The sequence below is a fragment of the Homo sapiens genome, chromosome 5 (assembly GCF_000001405.40).
Source record: "Homo sapiens chromosome 5, GRCh38.p14 Primary Assembly".
NCBI classification, from domain to species: domain Eukaryota; kingdom Metazoa; phylum Chordata; class Mammalia; order Primates; family Hominidae; genus Homo; species Homo sapiens.
The window spans coordinates 70,509,074-70,532,281 of NC_000005.10; the positions used below are offsets into that span (position 1 = coordinate 70,509,074).

The 23,208-nt window shown below is 48.3% G+C and overlaps 2 protein-coding genes and 2 pseudogenes across 3 annotated transcripts in view; 2 read left to right on the top strand and 2 right to left on the bottom strand.

Moving 5' to 3' along the window:
* Positions 1-23,208, bottom strand: part of GUSBP15 (GUSB pseudogene 15) — a 104,680-nt pseudogene that overhangs the window by 28,031 nt on the left and 53,441 nt on the right. Inside the window, exons 5-7 of the transcript NR_034021.1 lie at positions 12,928-13,115; positions 9,248-9,332; positions 7,235-7,409 (exon numbers count right to left, since the gene is read on the bottom strand). The product of NR_034021.1 is annotated as a GUSB pseudogene 15 (transcript). The remainder of the gene's footprint in view (positions 1-7,234; positions 7,410-9,247; positions 9,333-12,927; positions 13,116-23,208) is intronic.
* LOC124900992 (putative POM121-like protein 1-like) lies at positions 1,200-3,990 on the top strand. The gene has a single exon (XM_047417971.1). The coding sequence runs from the start codon at positions 1,466-1,468 to the stop codon at positions 3,434-3,436; it is 1,971 nt and encodes a 656-aa protein (XP_047273927.1). The 5' UTR covers positions 1,200-1,465; the 3' UTR covers positions 3,437-3,990.
* LOC124900995 (uncharacterized) lies at positions 15,664-22,984 on the bottom strand. Its single transcript, XM_047417974.1, has one exon. The coding sequence runs from the start codon at positions 21,371-21,373 to the stop codon at positions 20,789-20,791; it is 585 nt and encodes a 194-aa protein (XP_047273930.1). The 5' UTR covers positions 21,374-22,984; the 3' UTR covers positions 15,664-20,788.
* LOC728540 (POM121 membrane glycoprotein (rat) pseudogene) lies at positions 20,352-21,041 on the top strand (annotated as a pseudogene).

Consider the following 23,208-nt stretch of genomic DNA (forward strand, 5'->3'; position numbering starts at 1 on the left):
CAACTCTTCCCACTCCCGGGACTCAGCCCAGGTCACCTCGATGATTCCTGCCCCCTTGACAGCTGCAAGCAGGGATGCCGGCATGAGAAGAACAAGTTCGGCTCCTGCACCTGCCGCAGCAGCCCCTCCCCCCTCCACATTGAACCCCACGTCGGGGTCACTACTCAATGCAGTGGATGGAGGCCCCTCACATTTCTTGTCCTCAGCCACAGCTGCAGCACGTGTCCAGAGGTCAGAAGTGAGATATAACCAGAGATCCCAGACCTCCCGGACCAGATCGTGCCTCAAACGAAATGCCAGCTCCAGCTCCCACAGCTCTACGGAAGGCCTCCAAGAAGTAAAGCGGAGGAGGGGGCCAGCCTCATCCCACTGCCAGCTGGCCCACAGTTCCTCAAACACAGTGAGTGAGGATGGACCTCAGGCTGTCTCTTCGGGTCACCGCTGTGAAAACAAGGCAGGTACAGCACCAGGGCAGACACTCGCCCCCAGGGGTGGCTCCCCCAGATCCCAGGCCTCTAGGCCCCACATCAACAGTGCACTGCACGTTGAGGACAAGGCCATCTCGGACTGCAGACCCTCACGGCCTTCCCACACTTTGTCCTCACTTGCAACAGGGGCTTCGGGTGGGCCTCCCGTTTCTAAAGCACCCACTATGGATGCACAGCAGGACAGACCCAAGTCCCAAGACTGCCTGGGCCTAGTGGCCCCCCTAGCATCTGCTGCAGAGGTCCCTGCTACAGCTCCCGTGTCTGGGAAGAAGCACAGACCACCAGGACCCCTGTTCTCCTCCTCAGATCCCCTTCCTGCCACCTCTTCCCACTCCCGGGACTCAGCCCAGGTCACCTCGCTGATTCCTGCCACCTTCACAGCTGCAAGCAGGGATGCCGGCATGAGAAGAACAAGGTCGGCTCCTGCAGCTACCGCAGCAGCCCCTCCCCCATCCACATTGAACAACACGTCGGGGTCACTACTCAATGCAGTGGATGGAGGCCCCTCACATTTCTTGGCCTCAGCCACAGCTGCAGCACGTGCCCAGAGGTCAGAAGTGAGATATAACCAGAGATCCCAGACCTCCCGGACCAGATCCTGCCTCAAACGAAATGCCAGCTCCAGCTCCAGCTCCCACAGCTCTACGGAAGGCCTCCAGGAACTAAAGCGGAGGAGGGGGCCAGCCTCATCCTACTGCCAGCTGGCCCACAGTTCCCCAAACACAGTGAGTGAGGACGGACCTCAGGCTGTCTCTTCGGGTCACCGCTGTGAAAACAAGGCAGGTACAGCACCAGGGCACACACTCGCCCCCAGGGGAGGCTCCCCCAGATCCCAGGCCTCTAGGCCCCACATCAACAGTGCACTGCACGTTGAGGACAAGGCCATCTCGGACTGCAGACCCTCACGGCCTTCCCACACTTTGTCCTCACTTGCAACAGGGGCTTCCGGTGGGCCTCCCGTTTCTAAAGCACCCACTATGGACGCACAGCAGGACAGACCCAAGTCCCAAGACTGCCTGGGCCTAGTGGCCCCCCTAGCATCTGCTGCAGAGGTCCCCTCTACAGCTCCCGTGTCTGGGAAGAAGCACAGACCACCAGGACCCCTGTTCTCCTCCTCAGATCCCCTTCCTGCCACCTCTTCCCACTCCCGGGACTCAGCCCAGGTCACCTCGCTGATTCCTGCCACCTTCACAGCTGCAAGCAGGGATGCCGGCATGAGAAGAACAAGGCCTGGCACCTCGGCTCCTGCAGCTGCCGCAGCAGCCCCTCCCCCCTCCACATTGAACCCCACGTCGGGGTCGCTACTCAATGCAGTGGATGGAGGCCCCGCACATTTCTTGGGCTCAGCCACAGCTGCAGCACGTGCCCAGAGGTCAGAAGTGAGATATAACCAGAGATCCCAGACCTCCCGGACCAGATCGTGCCTCAAACGAAATGCCAGCTCCAGCTCCCACAGCTCTACGGAAGGCCTCCACGAAGTAAAGCGGAGGAGGGGGCCAGCCTCATCCCACTGCCAGCTGGCCCACAGTTCCTCAGTGAGTGAGGACGGACCTCAGGCTGTCTCTTCGGGTCACCGCTGTGAAAACAAGGCAGGTACAGCACCAGGGCAGACACTCGCCCCCAGGGGTGGCTCCCCCAGATCCCAGGCCTCTAGGCCCCGCATCAACACTGCACTGCACGTTGAGGACAAGGCCATCTCGGACTGCAGACCCTCACGGCCTTCCCACACTTTGTCCTCACTTGCAACAGGGGCTTCCGGTGGGCCTCCCGTTTCTAAAGCACCCACTATGGATGCACAGCAGGACAGACCCAAGTCCCAAGACTGCCTGGTCCTACTGGCCCCCCTAGCATCTGCTGCAGAGGTCCCCTCTACAGCTCCCGTGTCTGGGAAGAAGCACAGACCACCAGGACCCCTGTTCTCCTCCTCAGATCCCCTTCCTGCCACCTCTTCCCACTCCCGGGACTCAGCCCAGGTCACCTCGCTGATTCCCGCGCCCTTCACAGCTGCAAGCAGCGATGCCGGCATGAGAAGAACAAGGCCTGGCACCTCGGCTCCTGCAGCTGCAGCAGCAGCCCCTCCCCCCTCCACATTGCACCCCACGTCGGGGTCACTACTCAATGCAGTGGATGGAGGCCCCTCACATTTCTTGGCCTCAGCCACAGCTGCAGCACGTGTCCAGAGGTCAGAAGTGAGATATAACCAGAGATCCCAGACCTCCCGGACCAGATCCTGCCTCCAAGGAAATGCCAGCTCCAGCTCCCACAGCTCTACGGAAGGCCTCCCGCAACTAAAGCGGAGGAGGGGGCCAGCCTCATCCCACTGCCAGCTGGCCCACAGTTCCTCAAACACAGTGAGTGAGGACGGACCTCAGGCTGTCTCTTCGGGTCACACCCGCTGTGAGAAGAAGGCAGGTACAGCACCAGGGCAGACACTTGCCCCCAGGGGTGGCTCCCCCAGATCCCAGGCCTCTAGGCCCCGCATCAACACTGCACTGCACGTTGAGGACAAGGCCATCTCGGACTGCAGACCCTCACGGCCTTCCCACACTTTGTCCTCACTTGCAACAGGGGCTTCGGGTGGGCCTCCCGTTTCTAAAGCACCCACTATGGATGCACAGCAGGACAGACCCAAGTCCCAAGACTGCCTGGGCCTACTGGCCCCCCTAGCATCTGCTGCAGAGGTCTCCTCTACAGCTCCCGTGTCTGGGAAGAAGCACAGACCACCAGGACCCCTGTTCTCCTCCTCAGATCCCCTTCCTGCCACCTCTTCCCACTCCGGGGACTCAGCCCAGGACACCTCGCTGATTCCTGCCCCCTTCACACCTGCAAGCAGGGATGCCGGCATCAGAAGAATGTTTCGTGTTCGAAATTGTTTGAGGGGTTTGGGTTTATTTTTGTTGGTTTTTTCTTTTTTTTTTTTGCTTACGTGGGCATCCTTCAGCTTTTAATAATCTGAAAAATTCTATTTACCCATTGTCAATGTGTATAAATTAATCTCAGTCAATTTTATACAATAAAAGGTGAACTTTTATCCATCAAACAATAATTTAACAAAAAATGTACCGGAAGAAGAATGTTCATTACAAATATAGGAAACATAAATATTACCAAATATTGGCAAGCACTAAAATGTTCAGAAATATAAGTCTATTACAGTTATAGCTCTCTCAAGCAAAAAAACAGCAGAGAAAAACTTAGTTTACCTGAGGGGCTATTTATTTACTTAGGGATTTGTTAAAAGGTCAAATGGGGTCACACAGAATACTAAGAAGAGCTGTTCATCCAGGCCTCACTAAGAACTCTTCTTCATGCAGTAGCTATATGGTAATATGACAACTGCTCCTACGACCCAAAGAGGAACTACAGCAACTACTCTTTAGCATCTGTTGCTCCCAACTCTGCTTTGCAATTATATGACTCAAGCATTCTGGCTCCGTTAACTATTACTGCTGTTACTCCCAAGTAAATTCCCTCTAAAAAATAAAAATTTTTAAAGCTGTAATTTAAGCTCTCTGCTGCCTCATGACTTCAATTCCATCAGAGTTACGCATTGTTTCCTCTGTACATCTTTGCTCTGCTTCCATTGCTAATTCCCTAGAAAAGTGTTGTATATTCAAAGTTCCAAAGAAACAGAATATCCAAGACATCACCAATCATCCAAAACATAGTGTAGGAGGCCACAGTTAAGAGAAGCAAGACCATTAGCTCTTTTTATAGGCTCGAGAACAACAGGATGCTTTGGTCCTGTATCAGCAGGACGCTTTTTGGGTAGATCCTACTGCCACCCTACTATCGGGTAGATCCTACTGTCACCCTAGCTATGGGCACATGTCAGAGTCCCATGTAATAAAGGAGACAAAAGGAAACCACCACGAGTATAAACTAAGAAAAGTACTCCAAGGTTTCTAAGAATGGAGCTGTATAACTCACTTTGCCCCGTTTGTTACTTCTCCACGGTACTTACCACCACCTATTACATACATTTTGTTTATAGTCAGTCTTCCCCCATTAGAATGAAAGTTCCGTGAGGATAGGACTATACAGTCAGCCCTCAGTATCCATGGGGGACTGGTTTCAGGATCTCCTGAGGGTAACAAAGGATACTCAAGTCCCTGATATAAAATGACATAGTATTTGCACATCACCTTTGCACATCCTCCCATATACTTCATATCAACTCTAGATCACTCATAATATCCGATGTAAATGTCATGCAAATAGTTATTGTACTATATTGTGTAAGGAATAAGGACAAGAAAAAAGTCTGTACATGTTCAGTACAGACGCAATTTTTTTTTCCAATATTTCCAATCCTTGGTTGCCTTAACGGATGTAGAACCCAGGAATAAGTTCTGGTGTCCTATTGCATAGTAGGATGAGTATAGTTAACAATAACATATTATATATTTGAAAATAGCCAGAAGAGTAGATTTTGAATTTTCTCCCTACAGAAAAATCATTATGCAAATTACCCTGATTTGATCATTACACATTGAGTACATGTATTAAAACATCACATTCTACCCCATATATATGTACAGTTATTATGTGTCCATAAAAATTTAATGTCAATGTGTGAAATAAAATGAAAAAATAAAAATTTTTAAAGCTGTAATTATCTCCATCTGGTAGGAATATATACAATCTGAAATAAAAAATATATTTGTAATTGTTAGGACAAAATAGATTATACATTAAGTCTGCAAATTATAAATTATAAAATTCTCACAGAACCTGAAAAATTATTGATACTGTTAAATATTTAAAAAGCTGTCCTTGGAGAGAAAGAAACCTATCAGATTTACATCAACAAGTGTAATATGTCAGCCTATTACCATCTGCTACAGACTGCATGTTTGTGTTCCCTCAAAATTCATATGATAGGCCCGGCGCGGTGGCTCATGCCTGTAATCCCAGCACTTTGGGAGGCCGAGGCGGGTGGATCATGAGGTCAGGAGATCGAGATCATCCTGGCTAACATGGTAAAACCCCGTCTCTACTAAAACTACAAAAAATTAGCCGGGCGCAGTGGCGGGCGCCTTAGTCCCAGCTACTGAGGAGGCTGACGCAGGAGAATGGCGTGAACCCAGGAGGCGGAGCTTGTAGAGAGCCGAGATTGTGCCACTGCACTCCAGCCTGGGTGACAGACAGAGCGAGACTCTGTCTCAAAAAAAAAAAAAAAAAAAAAAAAAAAATTCATATGATAAAGCCCTAACCCCCAAGGTGAGGATACTGGGAGGCGTGGCCTTTAGGAGAGAATTAGGTTTAGATGAGGTCATGAGAATAGAGCCCCTATGGTGGCATTACTTCCTTTATAAGAAGAGACACTAGAGCTGCTTTTCTCCCTACCATGTGAGGATACCGAGAGAAGATGGCCATTTCCAATCTAGGAAGCAGGCCCTCTTTAAGAAACATAATTTGCCAACACTTTGATCTTGCACTTCCAGTCTGCAGAACTGTGAGAAATATCTGTTTTTTTTTGTTTGTTTGTTTTTGTTTTTTTTGAGACAGAGTCTCATTCTGTCATCCAGGCTGGAGTACAGTGGTGCGATCATGGCTCACTGCAACCTCCGCCTCCCAGGTTCAAGCAATTCTCCCACCTCAGCCTCCCAAGTAGCTCAGACTACAGGCGTGCACGACCACGCCCTGCTAATTTTCGCAGAGACAAGGTTGTGCCATGCTGCCCAGGCTAGTCTCAAACTCCTGAGCTCAAGTTATCCACCTGCCTCGGCCTCCCAAAGTGTTAGGAATACAGGCATAAGCCACCACGCCTGGTCAAAATATCTACTGTTTAAGCTACCTAATTTATGGTATTCTGTTTTAGCAGCTGAAGCAGACTAAGATACTATCCTATAAGCTACAGACCAGCACTATCCAATAGAACTTTATATGACGAGGAAATGTTTTATATCTGTGCTATCCCTTATGTTAGCCACTAGCCACATGTATCCATCAAGTATTTGAAATATGGCTAGTGCAACTAAAGAACTTAATTTTTAATTTTCTTTTTTTTCTTGAGATGGAGTCTCGCTCTGTCCCCCAGGCTGGAGTGCAGTGGCGCCATCTCGGCTCACTGCAAACTCTGCCTCCCAGGTTCACGCCATTCTCCTGCCTCAGCCTCCTGAGTAGCTGGGACTGCAGGCGCCCGCCACCACGCCCGGCTAATTTTTTTGTATTTTTAATAGAGATGGGGGTTCACCGTCTTAGTAAGGATGGTCTCGATCTCCTGACCTAATGATCTGCCCGCCTCGGCCTCCCAAAGTGCTGGGATTACCGGCGTGAGCCACCACGCCCGGCCAATTTTTATTTTATCTTATTTAAATAACCACATGTGGCTAGTGGCTAATGTATTGAACACTACAGCTGTAGACAATACGAAATAAATATAAAGCAGTCTCAACTTTGGAAAAACAGAAGACTCTTACTGCCTCATAATATAGATGAAAAATGAAATACTAAGATAAGTAAAACGTTCTTTAAAGAACAAAAACAAAAGAAAACCTAATGAAAGCTATAAAAGTCCATTGGATAATAATGCTACCAGTACTAAGGAAGTACAGCCCCTAAGAGTGACTTGCAGTCACAAATATAAAAATGACTATTCAACTGAACTCCTAAGGTGAAAATTTCTTATTCACCATGCTCCAAAATGGTCTGTAATATTCTTCAGAGATGGCATGGTGGGGGAGGCAAGTGGCATCTCTGCCCAGAGAGAATACACAAGCAGAAAGTTCAACACCGCTTACCTGGTGAAACCCTACAAGCGTTTCCACTCCATACGCGCTCTGAATAATGGGATTGTGATGTCTTACACCAATTCTCAAACTGGGCGGCCAGCTGCAGCCGAATCAACTCCAGGTGCCCGTAGTTGCGATACCAAGAGTAGTAGCTGTTCACACGGATCACATCCACATACAGAGCCTAGGACCAGAGCAGCAGAGCCCGTTCAGCAACCACAAGACCGCATGACTCAGTACTCACATGCTGTGGGGGCTCCTCTGACAGAGAAGGTAAGAAGGGGATGTAATCCCAGCACTCTGGGAGGCTGAGGCAGGAGGGTGGCTTGTGGCCAGGAGTTCGAGACCAGCCTGGGCAACACAGCAAGACCCCAGCTCTACAAAAAATAGTATCAAGAAAATCAGCACGGCACAGTGGCTCATGCCTGTAATCCCAGCACATTGGGAGGCCAAGGTGGGAGGATCACTTGAGCCCAGGAGTTTGAGACCAGCCTGGGCAACGTCGTAGGACTCCATTTCTACAAAACAAAACAAAAAGCCTACAACGGGAAGAGCTGCCTCTCGGGGCTGAGAACATCCAACTGCACCAATTTAGATCCTGAAATTACCCTGCCCCACAAGCAAAAAACATGGTCACAAAGTGGCCCAAAGGAGGCAGGCCTGTGATTGCACACTGACGCTCACGACGTGTGCAGCTGGGAAGGGCTGTGAGAGGCAGAGCAGCTGCCAACACGCAGTCCTCAGCCAAAACCCAGGGCCCCCGCCACTGGAACTGACTCCTCTCCAGGCAGCACTCCCAGCACTGGGCATCCCCTCACCTTGCCCTGGAGAAGCCCTCCCACCCAAGGGGCCAATGCAGTCATTCTCGCAGATAATCTTTTTCCGCTTTGTTTGGAAGACAGAGTCTCGCTCTGTTGCCCAGGCTAGAATGGAGTGGCACAATAATGCAACCTCTGCCTCCCACGATCAAGCGCAGGCGTGGTGGCATGTGCCTGTTATCCCAGCTACTTGGGAGGCTGAGGCAGGAGAATTGCTTGAACCTGGGAGGCGGAGGTTGCACTGAGCTGAGACTGTGCCACTGCACTCCAGCCTGGGCAACAGAGCAAGACTCTATCTTAAAAAAATAATAAAAAATAAAAAAGAATGCTAGTATCAGCCAGGCACGGTGGCTCATGCCTGTAATCCCAGCACTTTAGGAGGCTAAGGCAGGAGGATCACTTGAGCTCAAGAGTTTGAGACTGGCCTGGGCAACATAGTGAGATCCCATCTCTACAAAAACATTTAAAATTAGCCGGGCACAGTGGTGTACCCCCGGAGTCCCAGCTACTTGGAAGGCTGAGGCAAGAGGGTTGCTTAGGCCCAGGAATTCAAGGCTGCAGTGAGCTGTGATCACACCACTGCACTCCAGCCAGAGCAACAGAGTAAGACCTTGCCTTCACACACACACACAAAAAAACAAAAAACTCAGGTTCCAACCCTGGAGTTACTAAATCAGGATCTCAGAACGCAGAGATCTGGCATTTCAATAAAACTTCCCCTGGAGATTCTGATCAGCCAGGTTTGGGCCAGATGAACTCTAAGCTCACTTAAACCTTTGACATTTTATGAGTCTATTAAATCGAGTACAAAAAATGCTGAGTCCAAACCGGGCAAACAAATCCCATCTCCCTATGCCCAGCCTCCTTGGATTCAGAAAGCCACACTGCCTGGAGAGTAAGCAGAGAGAGAATTGTCATTAACCCAAAGACCATCTTTGAAAACAGACTGGCCGCGGCTGAGTGCGGTGGCACACGCCTGTAACCCCAGCCCTTTGGAAGGCCGAGGCAGGAGGATCACTTGAGCCCAGGAGTTCGAGACCAGCCTGGGCAACATGGCAAGACCCTGTCTCTATCTTTCTAAGTAAAACAAAATAAAAAGCTCAGACTGGCAGCACATGGTTCTTTCCAGCTGTTCCCATGAGCAGGCTTCAGGACAAGCCCAGGCAAAGGCAGGGAGAAATGGGGTGGGGACCCCCAGGCTCACCCCCTTGTCTGCTGCGTAGGTGGAGTTGGTCCCAAAGGTCACAGGCTGGGAGGGGTCCAAGGCTTTGGTGTGAGCAATCACCATCCTGTCCACAAAAGAGAGAAGACACAGGTTCCGTCAGTCCGGGAAAGGCTCAGACAACCTCCCATCCTCTCTGTCCCATCTTCCCCTGCCAGAACACAACTGGGGGCCAGGCACGATGGCTCACGCCTGTAATCCCAGCACTTCAGGAGGCTGAGGCAGGCAGATCACTGAGGTCAGGGGTTCAAGAACAGCCTGGCCAACATGGCAAAACCCCATTTCTACTAAATATACAAAAATTAGCCAGGCTTAGTGGCACGCATCTGTAACTCCAGCTACTCGGGAGGCTGAGGCACAAGAATTGCTTGAACCCGGGAGGTGGAGGTTGCAGTGAGCCGAAATCACGCTACTGCACTCCAGCCTGGGCCACAGAGCAAGACCCTGCCCCAAAACAAACAAACAAACAAACAAACAAACAAACAAACAAACAAAAAAAAAGAAAGAAAGAAAAGAAAAAAAAAAAAAAACAACAAAGCACAGAGCCGCTGCTTTCTTCCCTAACTTGAGATGTATTTTACATAAGGGCACGTTCCTCTAGTCCTAGACCGAGCTCTCTAACAACACTCTTTCTCCCCCACCCCTGAATCCAACTCCCCCAGAGGCGTAGCCACCCTGCCGGGTACACAGAGCTGAGGTCACTGGACTGAACACTGCCAGAAATGAGGTTCACTTCCTGAAATAGCTCTTGAACACAGGAGTGAATGGGCTGTGGATTCAGGTGGAATATTTATTAATGCATCAAGCAAACAGGTAGTGCGAGGTGGGAGGGAGGCATGAGGCTGGGTGCTAGGTGCTCAGTAATGACTCAAATCTAAGTCCACAGGTCCTGGGCAGTGGGAGTGGAGATGCATGCACAGAAAAACGGTGCAAGTGCCAGGCGAGGTGGCTCAAGCCTAGAACCCCAGCACTTTGGGAGGCTTACTTGAGACCAGGCGCTTGAGACCAGCCTGGACAACATAGCAAGACCTTGTTTCTACAACAAATTTAAAAATTAGGGCCGGGCATGGTGGCTCAAGCCTGTGAGCACTTTGGGAGGCCAAGGCAGGTGGATCACGAGCTCAAGAGTTCGAGACCAGCCTGGCCAACATGGTGAAACCCCATCTCAACAAAAAATAAAGAAGAAAACTAGCTGGGCATGGTGGCGTGAGCCTGTAATCCCAGCTACTCGGGAGGGTGAGGCAGGAGAACTGTTTGTACCCAGGAGGTAGAGGATGCAGTGAGCCAAGATCGCAACACTGCTCTCCAGCCTGGGAGACAGAGCAAGACTCTGACTCGTGGGGAAAAAAAAATATTAAAATTTAGCCTGGCAAGGCAGCGCACGTCTGTGGTCCCAGCTATTTGGGAGGCTGAGTGGGGAGGATCGCTTAAGCCCAGGAGGTCGAGATGGCAACGAGCTATGATTGCACCACTGCACTCCAGCCTGGGCAACAGAGTGAGACCCTGACTCTGAAAAACAAACAATGAAAGAAATGTTGCGAATGGAAATGACAAGTGGTGGCAGGAATTGGGCACTCTATGAGACAACAGACACATCCCCGATTGGAGAGTCAGGGACAGGCTCTTAGAAGAAATGGCCTTTATGCTGAGTCAAGTTAACCAGGAGGGATGAAGGGAAGAGGCTCCCAACAGAGGGACCAGTCCGTGCTCAGAGCTCCCAGCATCTGCCCAAGGCCTCCACAGAACAGACTGTTGTGTTTTTGTTTTGTTTTGTTTTGTTGAGATACAGAGTCTCATTCTGTAGCCCAGGCTGGAATGCAGTGGCATTATCTCAGCTCATTGCAATCTCTGCCTCCTGGTTCACCTGAGGCGATTCTCCTGCCTCAGCCTACCTGGTAGCTGGGATTACAGACGTCCACCACCATGCCCAGCTAATTTTTGTATTTTTAGTAGAGACAGGATTCACTACCTGTTGACCAGGCTGGTCTCGAACTCCTGACCTCGGGTGATCCACCCACCTCAGCCTCCCAAACTGCTGGGATTACAGGCGTGACCCACCGCATCCGGCCTAGACCGTTGTTGAAGCTGGTTTTCTTCTTCTTTCCTCAGTTCTTTTCTTTTACATCTTCCCCCCATCATTGCTCTGCCCATCCGAAGGCTGTGGCTGGCACAGGACAGAATAGAACCTCCTAGCCTCAAGTTCCAAACCCACACTCTCCAATAGCCAGGCTCTCAGATGGGAAGCTTCAAAGCCTTGTGACAGCCTGGCTGAACCTCTCCAGCCTGGGCCCTCCCTCCATTTCCTGCCCCGGAAACAGGCATCTCCTCTGGCCACCTCCCAAAGCCTGTCTGGAAGCCTCAGGCACCCGCTCCTGGAAGCCTGTACGATTCACAACAAACGGCCTGTCCACCCAGTCGTGCTGAGCACACCCCTATTCCCCCGAGCTCTGAATTGTCCTTTGCCCAGGCTAGGACAACATCTCAGAGCCTTCTGCCTGCTGCAGACTCGGCTCAGCCCAAATCACTCCATGAAATTGGGGTGTGGCATCTGCCTCAAGGAGCATTTCTACAACCTCTGCTGCCTCTACCGCAAATGAAACTGGCTCTCACCCACTGGCTCTCGGTGACGGGCACAGTGCGGAGCCCCACAGGGAGTGTGTAGAAGTCAAAGGCCCCAGTGACTTCTGTGCAGTCAGCCGCACCTACGACAGCCAAAGCGCCAGGTGTGAGCGCCCCGACAGCCTGAGCCCCATCTGGCCTGCCCTACAGCAGGAAGACCCCTCGTGCATGCACCCCAGAAGTCGCCACTGGGCCTGCAGAGAAGCAGCAACCAGAGGCTCTGCCCTTCACTGGCTGACCCTGGGACCTGCCCTTCAAAATCAGGCCTTCTCCTTGACCAGACGAGGTGGCTCATGCCTGGAATCCCTACACTTTGGGAGGCTAAGGCAGGAGGATCACCTGAGTCCAGGAGTTCAAGACCAGCCTGGGCAACCTAGTAAGACCCCAACTCTATAAAAAGGAGTTTTTTTTTTTTGAGACAGTCTCACTCTGTCACCCAGGATAGAGTGCTGCGGCATGATCTCAATTCACCGCAGCCCCTGCCTCCTGGGTTCAAGCAATTCCCCTGCCTCAGCCTCCCGAGTAGCTGGGATTACAGACGTGCACCATCATGCCCTGCAAATTTTCATATTTTAGTAGAGACGGGGTTTCACCATGTTGGCCAGGCTGGTCTCCAACTCCTGGCCTAAAGTGATCCGCCCGCGTCAGCCTCCCGAAGTGCTGGGATTACAGGTGTGAGCCACCATGCCCGGCCTACAAAAAAAATTTTTTTAATTAGCCAGGCATGGTGGCATGTGCCTGTAGTCCCAGCTACTCAGGAGGCCAAGGTAGGAGGATTGCAGCTCAAAGCTGCAGTGAGCTGTGATCAGGCCATTGCATTCCAGCCTGGGTGACAGAGTGAGACCATCACAAAAACAAACAAACAAATAAATAAATAAATAAATAAATAAATAAAAAATCTGGGCCTCCCACCAAGGGTGGGAAACATCAGAAAGCTCAGAGGACCACACCTGCCCGTTCACCTGTCCTGGGCTCCTGCTGAAGCCAGGGCTACCAGATGGGGGCAAAAGACCTCCCTTACGCAAGTCCCAAACCACCATTACCTCCCACGAGTACAGGTAGGCGGGGTGTTCGTGCATCAGGTACGGCCACCAGAGGTTGGCACCCAGCACCTTCAGCTGGCCCTGGGTCCCAGCCTGGTTGTCCACGACTTTGTTTTCTGCATTCAAAAGACACACTTCCAACTTGAACTGGTTACTGCACTTGACGGAGATCTGGTAATTCACCAGCCCTGCAGGAGGCAAGAGAGACCAGGGCTTAGGGAGGGACATGACCTGGGTCACACAAACGGGAAGGCCCCACAATGACCACTCCCAGGCACTCTCATTTGCTTCTGTTGCTTTTTTTTTTTTTTTTTTTGAGATAGAATCTCGCTCTGTCACCCAGGCTGGAGTGCAGTGGCATGATCTGGACTCACTGAAACCTCTGCCTCCCAGGTTCAAGTGATTCTCCTGCCTCAGCCTCTGGAATAGCTGGGATTACAGGCACCTGCCACCACATCCAGCTAATTTTTGTATTGTTAGTAGAGACGGGGTTTCACCACATTAGCCAGGATGGTCTTGATCTCCTGACCTCGTGATCCGCCTGCCTCGGCCTCCCAAAGTGCTGGGATTACAGGCTTGAGCCACCGTGCCCGGCCCTGAACCAATGCGCCCAGCCCGCTTTTAATTTAATTTTTTAATTTTTTTTTTTTTTTTTTTTTTTTTTTTGAGATGGAGTCTCACTGTCACCCAGGCTGGAGTGTAGTGCTGCGATCCTGACTCGCTGCAACCTCCACCTCTGGAGTTCAGGTGATTCTCCTGCCTCAGCCTTCCGAGTACCTGGGAATACAGGAATGCACCACCATGCCCGGCGAATTTTTCTATTTTCAGTAGAGACGGAGTTTTGCCATGTTGGCCAGGCTGGTCTCGAACTCCTGAACTCAGGTGATCCACCCGCCTCAGTCTCCCAATAGATTACATATATTATTAATGAATTGCTTCCTTTAACACCCTATTCATTGAATTTTCCAGTAAACCACAATTACTAATTACTCCTGAAATCAGAAAAGAGGTTAAAAAGATTTTATAACAGTATCCTATGAAATCTACTACTTTCAAGTAATAGTAGTTGAATTACCAAAACCCGTCACTCAAGCCAATGACTACAATTAAGATATGAGTAACATTTCCTAGATAAATAAAGTCAATTAATTATATTTGCATCTGGGAAATAGAGAAAGTACATATAAGCCATGATTTTGAAGTCAAAAGAGAGAGAATATTTGCCAAGGAGGGGTGAGTTATAGTATGTAATTATAACATACAGAAGTTTTTTGTATGCTGGTAACTAATTTTAATTTCCTACATTTTTATGTAGATTTCTGCTATTCTTGTCCTATTTTCCTAATCATCTTTCTATATGAATGACTACATAATTCTGAGAATACCAAAAGAGACAGACACAGAACCAATCGGATTCCTTTCTTCTTGAAGCTTCTGCACAGCAAAAGAAACTATCAACAGAGTGAACAGACAACCTACAGAATGGGAGAAAATTTTTGCAACAATGCATGTGACAAAGATCTAATGTCCAACACTGATAAGGAACTTAAACAAATTTACAAGAAAAAAAAAAATCTCATTAGAAAGTGGGCACAGGACATAAACAGACACTTCAAAAGAAGACACACATGCGGCCAACAAGCATATGAGAAAAAGCTCAATATCACTGATCATTAGAGAAATGCAAATCAAAACCACAATGGCATACCATCTCACACCAGTCAGTATGGTTATTATTAAGAAGTCAACGCCGGGCATGGTGGCTCACGCCTATAATCCCAGCACTTCAGGAGGCCAAGGCAGGCAGATCGCATGAGGTCAGGAGTTCCAGACCAGCCTGGACAACCTGGCGAAACCCCGTCTCTACTAAAAATACAAAAATTAGCCCAGCGTGGTGGCGGGTGCCTGTAATCCCAGCTACTCAGGATGCTGAGGCAGGAGAATCGCCTGAACCCGGGAGGCAGAGGTTGTAGTGAGCCGAGATCATACCACTGCACTCTCCAGCTTAGGTGACAGAGCGAGACTCTGTCTCAAAAAAAAAAAAAAAAATATTTGAATTTTGTTTAAATCGCTAACACATACTGGGCATTTAATAACAAAAAAAAAGGACATGAGATTGTGATCCTTATGAAGGTTTGAGAGGCATTTCACTAGGGTTCAACATACAGCAGTCTGAAACATACTGTAATAATTTAATCCAATGGCTCATCTACAGCACCTAAAAAGATTACAGCAGATTCTCATTATTCAGTGTAGTTACGGTCTAGAAAGTTCCATGAACAAATAAAAAGTTAGGTTTCAGCAAGCTACTGGTCACACTTTTGTAAGCTTACCAACACCTACTTTTGTTGTATGTGTGCTTATTTAATATATATTGTTGGCCAGGCACAGTGGCTAACGCCTGTAATCCCAGCACTTTGGGAAGCCAAGGCGGGCAGATCATTTGAGGTCTGGAGTTCGAGACCAGCCTGGCCAACGTGGTGAAACCCCGTCTCTACTAAAACTACAAAAAAAAAAAAAAAAAATTAGCCAGGCATGGTGGCGCATGCCTGTAGTCTTAGCTACTTGGGAGGCGAAGGCAGGGGAATCGCTTGAACCCAGGAGGCAGAGGTTGCAGTGAGCCAAGACTGCACCACTGCACTCCAGCCTGAGCAACAGAGTGAGACTCTATCTCAAAAAAAAAATAATAATAATTAATTAAATGAAGAATAAATAAATAATATACATTGTTCATTCATTAACATTGAACTCACAGCCAACGGCACTACAGCACTCACGCCTGAATGGAGTTTATTTAATGCATGTATTTTCTCTGTAAGACACATCACAGACTTCTTGGACTTGTGAATGCTAAGCAGCACTTCAGCACTATGCTTGGGGGTTAATTTAAATGGCAAAACAACCAACAAACAGTACAAAAACAGGAAAAGCATGGCATTAAATAGACCACAAAAAGGATACCTGACTATTGTATGAGAGCTGAAAAAGAAGGCAGAATATCATCCTGTTCAAACTCAAATTCTTTGACACTCTGCGCAAACACATGACTATGAAAGTGCTGTGAGTACTGATTTGGGGGTTACAAAAAATAGTAGGTGAGTTCACAAATACAAAAGCTGAAAACAAGGAGGATCGACTGTATTTTCGTAGACAATCTAATCTCAGAAGATTTCAGTTCAGACAAAAATCATGATAATTACTGTATTACAAAAGGGCACTAGATAGGGGGGAAAGAGTAAAAATCACAATTAAAACAAAGGTTCAAAATTCTGCAGCAACCATATCCAGTTACACTTTAATATGTTTGCGGCAGACTACATTATTGTTCCCAACTCATCACCCCTCCCTATATCTAAAACCTTTCCCCAAGACAATGCAGTTCCTCCTGCTAGAGATCAGGTATATTTATCTATACTATCAATGTTAGCCATGGACAAGGTATGTGCTTTGGCTGACTGAATGTTAGTGGACATGAGAGAAGCAATGGCTTAAAATGTACTTCCAGAACTGGAGTTTCCTTGTGATTCTATCACTGTGACAGAAACACATTCTCAGGTAGTCCACTGATCCAAGGGGGAACAAACACACAGAAAACATACCTAGACTCTATCTGCAGCTTGCAGCCTCACCAAGCCAACAACAGTCAACTCACAGATATGTTAGCAAAAATAAATGTTTTTCGTACCTTAAGTTTTATATAATTATTGACCTGCAGTTAACTGATATACAATATACATTAATCTTAAAATATCAGTATCCCATTAAAAATATTTACATTAAAAACTGAGACCACTTTCTTTCCTCCTTTTTTTTTTTTTTTTTTTTTTTAAATTAAGAGACAGGGTGTCTCAATGTTGCCCAAGCTGGAGTTCAGTGGCTAGTGGCTATTCACAAGAACGATCATCGCACACTACCTCAAACTCCTGGGATCAAGCAATCCTCCTGCCTCAGCTTTCCAAGTCGCTGGGACTATAAGTGTGTACCACAGCATGTCAGCTCTCTCTCTCCTTCTTGACCTAAAGCCTAGCATAAAATTAGCTAAGTAGAATGTTTCCAATGATGGCTGCATCAGTATCTCCCATCCCACATAATTTCTGTTTGATTTTGCCATTCACCCATAAAATGGTGGGATCTACCTCCCCTCCTTGCAAATTTGAGCTGGCCCTCTGATCCTGTCTAAGATCTGAAGCCAGATATTAAGGTACTTCATTAATTTCCATGTTTGTCCTCTATGCAACCTAGCAATCAAGCAAGAAGTCAAAACATACTGACATAGTTTGGATGGGTCCCCACCCAAATCTCACCTTGCATTGTAATAATTCCCACGTGTCAAGGGTGGGGCCGGGTGCAGATAACTGAATCATGGGGATGGTTCCCCCCATACTGTTCTCGCGGTAGTGACTAAGTCTCATGAGATCTGATGGTTTTATAAATGGGAGCTCCCCTGCACATGCTCTCTCCTGCCTGCCACTATGTGAGACATGCTTTTGCACCTCCTTGCCTTCCACCATGATTGTGAGGCCTCCCCAGCCATGCAGAACTGTGAGTCAATTCAACCTCTTTCCTTTATAAATTACCCAGTCTCAGGTATGTCTTTATTTGCAGTGTGAGAACAGACTAATACAATAAGTTGATACCAGTAGAGTGGGGTGCTGCTGTAAAGATACCCGAAAATGTGGAAGCAACTTTGGAAATGGGTAACAGGGAGAGGCTGGAACAGTTTGGAAGGCTCAGAAGAGGATAGGAAAATGTGGGAAAGTTTGGAACTTCCTAGAGACTTGTTGAATGGCTTTGACCAAAATGTTAATAGTGATATGGACAACAAGGTCCAGGCGGAGGTGGTCTCAGAGGCAGATGAGGAATTTGTTGGGAAATGGAGTAAAGTCACTCTTACTATGCAAAGACACTGCAGGCATTGTGCACCTGTATTAGAAACGGGCATAAGATAGGCGGGAAAGAGGGAAAATAAGAATTTTTTTCTAGAGTTCCCTACAGATCTGTGGAACTTTGAACTTGAGAGAGATGATTTAAGGTATCTGACACAAGAAATTTCTAAGCAGCAAAGCATTCGAGAAGAAGCAGAGCATAAAAGTTCAGAAAATTTGTACCCTGATGATGCAACAGAAAAGAAAAATCTATTTTCTCAGGAGACTGGGTTGTAGAAATTTGCATAAGTAATGAGGAGCCAAATGTTAATCACCAAGACAATGGGGCAAATGTCTCCAGGGCATGTTAGAGACCCTCACAGCAGACCCTCCCATCACAGGCCAGGAGGCTTAGAAGGAAAAATGGTTTTGTGGGTCCAGAACCCCCTGCTGTGTGCAGCCTAGGAACTTGGGGCCCTGCATCCCAGCTGCTCCTGCCATAGGTAAAAGGGGCCAAGGTACACCTCAGGCCATGGCTTCAGAGGGTGCAAGTTCCAAGCCTTTCAGGTTCTAGGTGGTGTTAAGCCTGCAGATGCACCGAAGTCAAGAATTAACGTTCATGAACCTCCGCCTACATTTCAGAAGATGTATGAAAATGCCTGGAAATCCAGGCAAAAGTTTGCTGTGGGGGGGAGGGGAGGGGAGGGGGGGCCCTCATGGATAACCTCTGCTAGGGCAGTGTCAAAGGGAAATATGGGGTTGGAGCTTCCACACAGAGTCCCCACTGGGGTACTGCCAAGCAGAGCTGTGAGAAAAGGGCCACCATCCTCCAGACCCCAGAATGGTAGATCCACTGACAGCTTGCACTGTGTGCCTGGAAAAGCTGCAGACACTCAATGCAGCCAGAAGGGGGGCTGTACCCTGCAAAGCCACAGGGGCGGGGCTGCCCAAGACCCTGGGAACCCACTTCTTGCATCACCTAGATGTGACACATGGAGTCAAAGGAGGTCATTTTGGAGCTTTAAGATTTGCCTGCTGGGTTTTGGACTTGCATGGGGCCTGTAGCTCTTTCGCTTTGGCCAATTTCTCCCATTTGAAACGAGTGTATTTACCCAATGCCTGTATCCCTGTGTATCTAGAAAATAACTAACTTGCTTTTGATTTTACAGGCTCATAGGTGGAAGGGACTTGCCTTGTCTCAGATGAGACTTTGGACTATGGAATTTTGAGTTAATGCTGAAATAAGAGTTTGGGGGACTTAGGGGAAGGCATGATTGCTTTTGAAATATGAGGACATGAGATTTGGGAGGGGCCGGGGAAGAATTATATGGTTTGGCTCTGTCCGCACCCAAATCTCATCTTGAATTGTAACAATTCCCATGTGTCAAGGGTGGGGCCAGGTGGAGATAACTGAATCATGGAGGCAGTTTCCCCCATGCTGTTCTCATGGTAGTGAATAAGTCTCATGAGGTCTGATGGTTTTATAAATGGATGTTCCCCTGCACATGCTCTCTCCTGCCCACCATGTCTGACTAAATTTTGTATTTTTACTAGAGACGGGCTTTCACTATGTTGGCCAGGCTGGCCTCCAACTCCTGATCTCGTGATCCGTCCACCCCGACCTCCCAAAGTGCTAGGATCATAGGCATAAGCCACCACACCCGGCCTCTTTTTTTTCTTTTTCTTTTTTTTATCTGGAGACTGAGTTTTGCACTCGTTGCCCAGGCTGGAGTGCAATGGTGCGATCTCAGCTCACTGCAGTCTCCACCTCAGCAGGAGAGCAGGAATCTTCAGTGATCCACGGGCAAATATGCAGCCATTGTGGGCACCTGTTCCTCCCGCGACCTTTGTGCCCACGTCTCTCCCTCCAGTACCTACTGCACGACCCCCCACGTCCGCCTCCTGCCATTGCCAGCAGGTGCCTTGCGCGGGTACCTGGCTGCGCTTATTCATCCATTATGGTCGCTCTGTCACTGGTGCCATTATGTGCTCACATGCCCACTCCCTCAGGTTTAGAAGTCGCGTTGCCCGGCAACAGAACAATCTGCTGGCTTAGCCTTTGGCCAAGTTGGCAGCTGGACGAGGACGCTCAGAGCCCAGCTCTTGAGAGTTCAAGTATCCGACAGTTCCCCACTGCTCCCAGGAGCGGTTACCCGGGCACTCTGTGCCCCTCATTCCTGTTTGGGCCAAGGCCGAGGACCTGCGAGTAGGGCTCAGTTGCCTGGAGCCCCTTCAGCCCATCCCCCAGTTCACTTTGCTTGTGGGATCTCCCCGTTGCTCCTGCCCCTGGACTGAGTGGCAGGCCATCCTACAAACACCCGGACACTCGACATCACTGGTGTCAAGACAACTCTAAGAAGGTTTCAAGTGATCCTGCAAGACCTGTGTTCCATCCTGGTGATTCTGTCTTCAATTTCACTGCACAGGTACCACAGTAAGCCAGTGCTGTGTGCTCCGAGTTCCAGGGCATCCCCCAGCTCAGCCACTACACTGAGCACAAGGACTCTGTGGGGCCCAGGAGCAGGTAGTCACCCCTTTGGGGTCCACAACACCCGGCTGTCCCCAGACTTGTGTCCAGGGAAGATAGTGTTGAGGGCCCTCAAGGAGAGCGGGGCAGGGATGCCTGAGCAGGACAAGGACCCCAGAGTCCAAGAAAATCCTGATGATCAGAGAACGGTCCCCGAGGTCACCGGGGATGCACGGTCTGCATTTTGGCCCCTGCGGGACAATGGAGGCCCCTCTCCCTTTGTGCCCAGGCCCGGGCCTCTGCAGACAGACCTCCACGCCCAGAGCTCAGAAATCAGATATAACCACACATCCCAGACATCCTGGACGAGCTCGAACACCAAACGAAATGCCATCTCCAGCTCCTACAGCTCCACGGGAGGCTTGCCGGGGCTAAAGCAGAGGAGGGGGCCAGCCTCATCCCGCTGCCAGCTGACCCTCAGTTACTCAAAGACAGTGAGTGAGGACAGGCCTCAGGCTGTCTCTTCGGGTCACACACGGTGTGAAAAGGGGGCAGATACAGCACCAGGGCAGACAATCGCCCCAACGGGTGGCTCCCCCAGATCCCAGGACTCTAGGCCCCGTAGACGCAAGATTCCCCTGCTGCCACGCAGGCGAGGGGAGCCTTTGATGCTGCCACCTCCCTTAGAGCTGGGGTACCGGGTCACGGCTGAAGACCTGCACCTGGAAAAAGAGACGGCATTCCAGCGCATCAACAGTGCACTGCACGTTGAGGACAAGGCCATCCCGGACTGCAGACCCTCACGGCCTTCCCACACTTTGTCCTCACTTGCAACAGGGGCTTCGGGTGGGCCTCCCGTTTCTAAAGCACCCACTATGGATGCACAGCAGGACAGACCCAAGTCCCAAGACTGCCTGGGCCTACTGGCCCCCCTAGCATCTGCTGCAGAGGTCTCCTCTACAGCTCCCGTGTCTGGGAAGAAGCACAGACCACCAGGACCCCTGTTCTCCTCCTCAGATCCCCTTCCTGCCACCTCTTCCCACTCCGGGGACTCAGCCCAGGACACCTCGCTGATTCCTGCCCCCTTCACACCTGCAAGCAGGGATGCCGGCATCAGAAGAATGTTTCGTGTTCGAAATTGTTTGAGGGGTTTGGGTTTATTTTTGTTGGTTTTTTCTTTTTTTTTTTTTGCTTACGTGGGCATCCTTCAGCTTTTAATAATCTGAAAAATTCTATTTACCCATTGTCAATGTGTATAAATTAATCTCAGTCAATTTTATACAATAAAAGGTGAACTTTTATCCATCAAACAATAATTTAACAAAAAATGTACCGGAAGAAGAATGTTCATTACAAATATAGGAAACATAAATATTACCAAATATTGGCAAGCACTAAAATGTTCAGAAATATAAGTCTATTACAGTTATAGCTCTCTCAAGCAAAAAAACAGCAGAGAAAAACTTAGTTTTCCTGAGGGGCTATTTATTTACTTAGGGATTTGTTAAAAGGTCAAATGGGGTCACACAGAATACTAAGAAGAGCTGTTCACCCAGGCCTCACTAAGAACTCTTCTTCATGCAGTAGCTATATAGTAATATGACAACTGCTCCTACGACCCACAGAGGAACTACAGCAACTACTCTTTAGCATCTGTTGCTCCCAACTCTGCTTTGCAATTATATGACTCAAGCATTCTGGCTCCGTTAACTATTACTGCTGTTACTCCCAAGTAAATTCCCTCTAAAAAATAAAAATTTTTAAAGCTGTAATTTAAGCTCTCTGCTGCCTCATGACTTCAATTCCATCAGAGTTACGCATTGTTTCCTCTGTACATCTTTGCTCTGCTTCCATTGCTAATTCCCTAGTAAAGTGTTGTATATTCAAAGTTCCAAAGAAACAGAATATCCAAGACATCACCAATCATCCAAAACACAGTGTAGGAGGCCACAGTTAAGAGAAGCAAGACCATTAGCTCTTTTTATAGGCTCGAGAACAACAGGATGCTTTGGTCCTGTATCAGCAGGATGCTTTTTGGGTAGATCCTACTGCCACCCTACTATCGGGTAGATCCTACTGTCACCCTAGCTATGGGCACATGTCAGAGTCCCATGTAATAAAGGAGACAAAAGGAAACCACCACGAGTATAAACTAAGAAAAGTACTCCAAGGTTTCTAAGAATGGAGCTGTATAACTCACTTTGCCCCGTTTGTTACTTCTCCACGGTACTTACCACCACCTATTACATACATTTTGTTTATAGTCAGTCTTCCCCCATTAGAATGAAAGTTCCGTGAGGATAGGACTATACAGTCAGCCCTCAGTATCCATGGGGGACTGGTTTCAGGATCTCCTGAGGGTAACAAAGGATACTCAAGTCCCTGATATAAAATGACATAGTATTTGCACATCACCTTTGCACATCCTCCCATATACTTCATATCAACTCTAGATCACTCATAATATCCGATGTAAATGTCATGCAAATAGTTATTGTACTATATTGTGTAAGGAATAAGGACAAGAAAAAAGTCTGTACATGTTCAGTACAGACGCAATTTTTTTTTCCAATATTTCCAATCCTTGGTTGCCTTAACGGATGTAGAACCCAGGAATAAGTTCTGGTGTCCTATTGCATAGTAGGATGAGTATAGTTAACAATAACATATTATATATTTGAAAATAGCCAGAAGAGTAGATTTTGAATTTTCTCCCTACAGAAAAATCATTATGCAAATTACCCTGATTTGATCATTACACATTGAGTACATGTATTAAAACATCACATTCTACCCCATATATATGTACAGTTATTATGTGTCCATAAAAATTTAATGTCAATGTGTGAAATAAAATGAAAAAATAAAAATTTTTAAAGCTGTAATTATCTCCATCTGGTAGGAATATATACAATCTGAAATAAAAAATATATTTGTAATTGTTAGGAC

What these genes read in the sequence shown, in the direction of transcription:
- LOC124900992 (XM_047417971.1), top strand. Translation starts at nt 1,466, where the DNA reads ATGGACGCACAGCAGGACAGACCCAAGTCCCAAGACTGCCTGGGCCTA.
- LOC124900995 (XM_047417974.1), bottom strand. Translation starts at nt 21,373, where the DNA reads ATGCCGGCATCCCTGCTTGCAGGTGTGAAGGGGGCAGGAATCAGCGAG.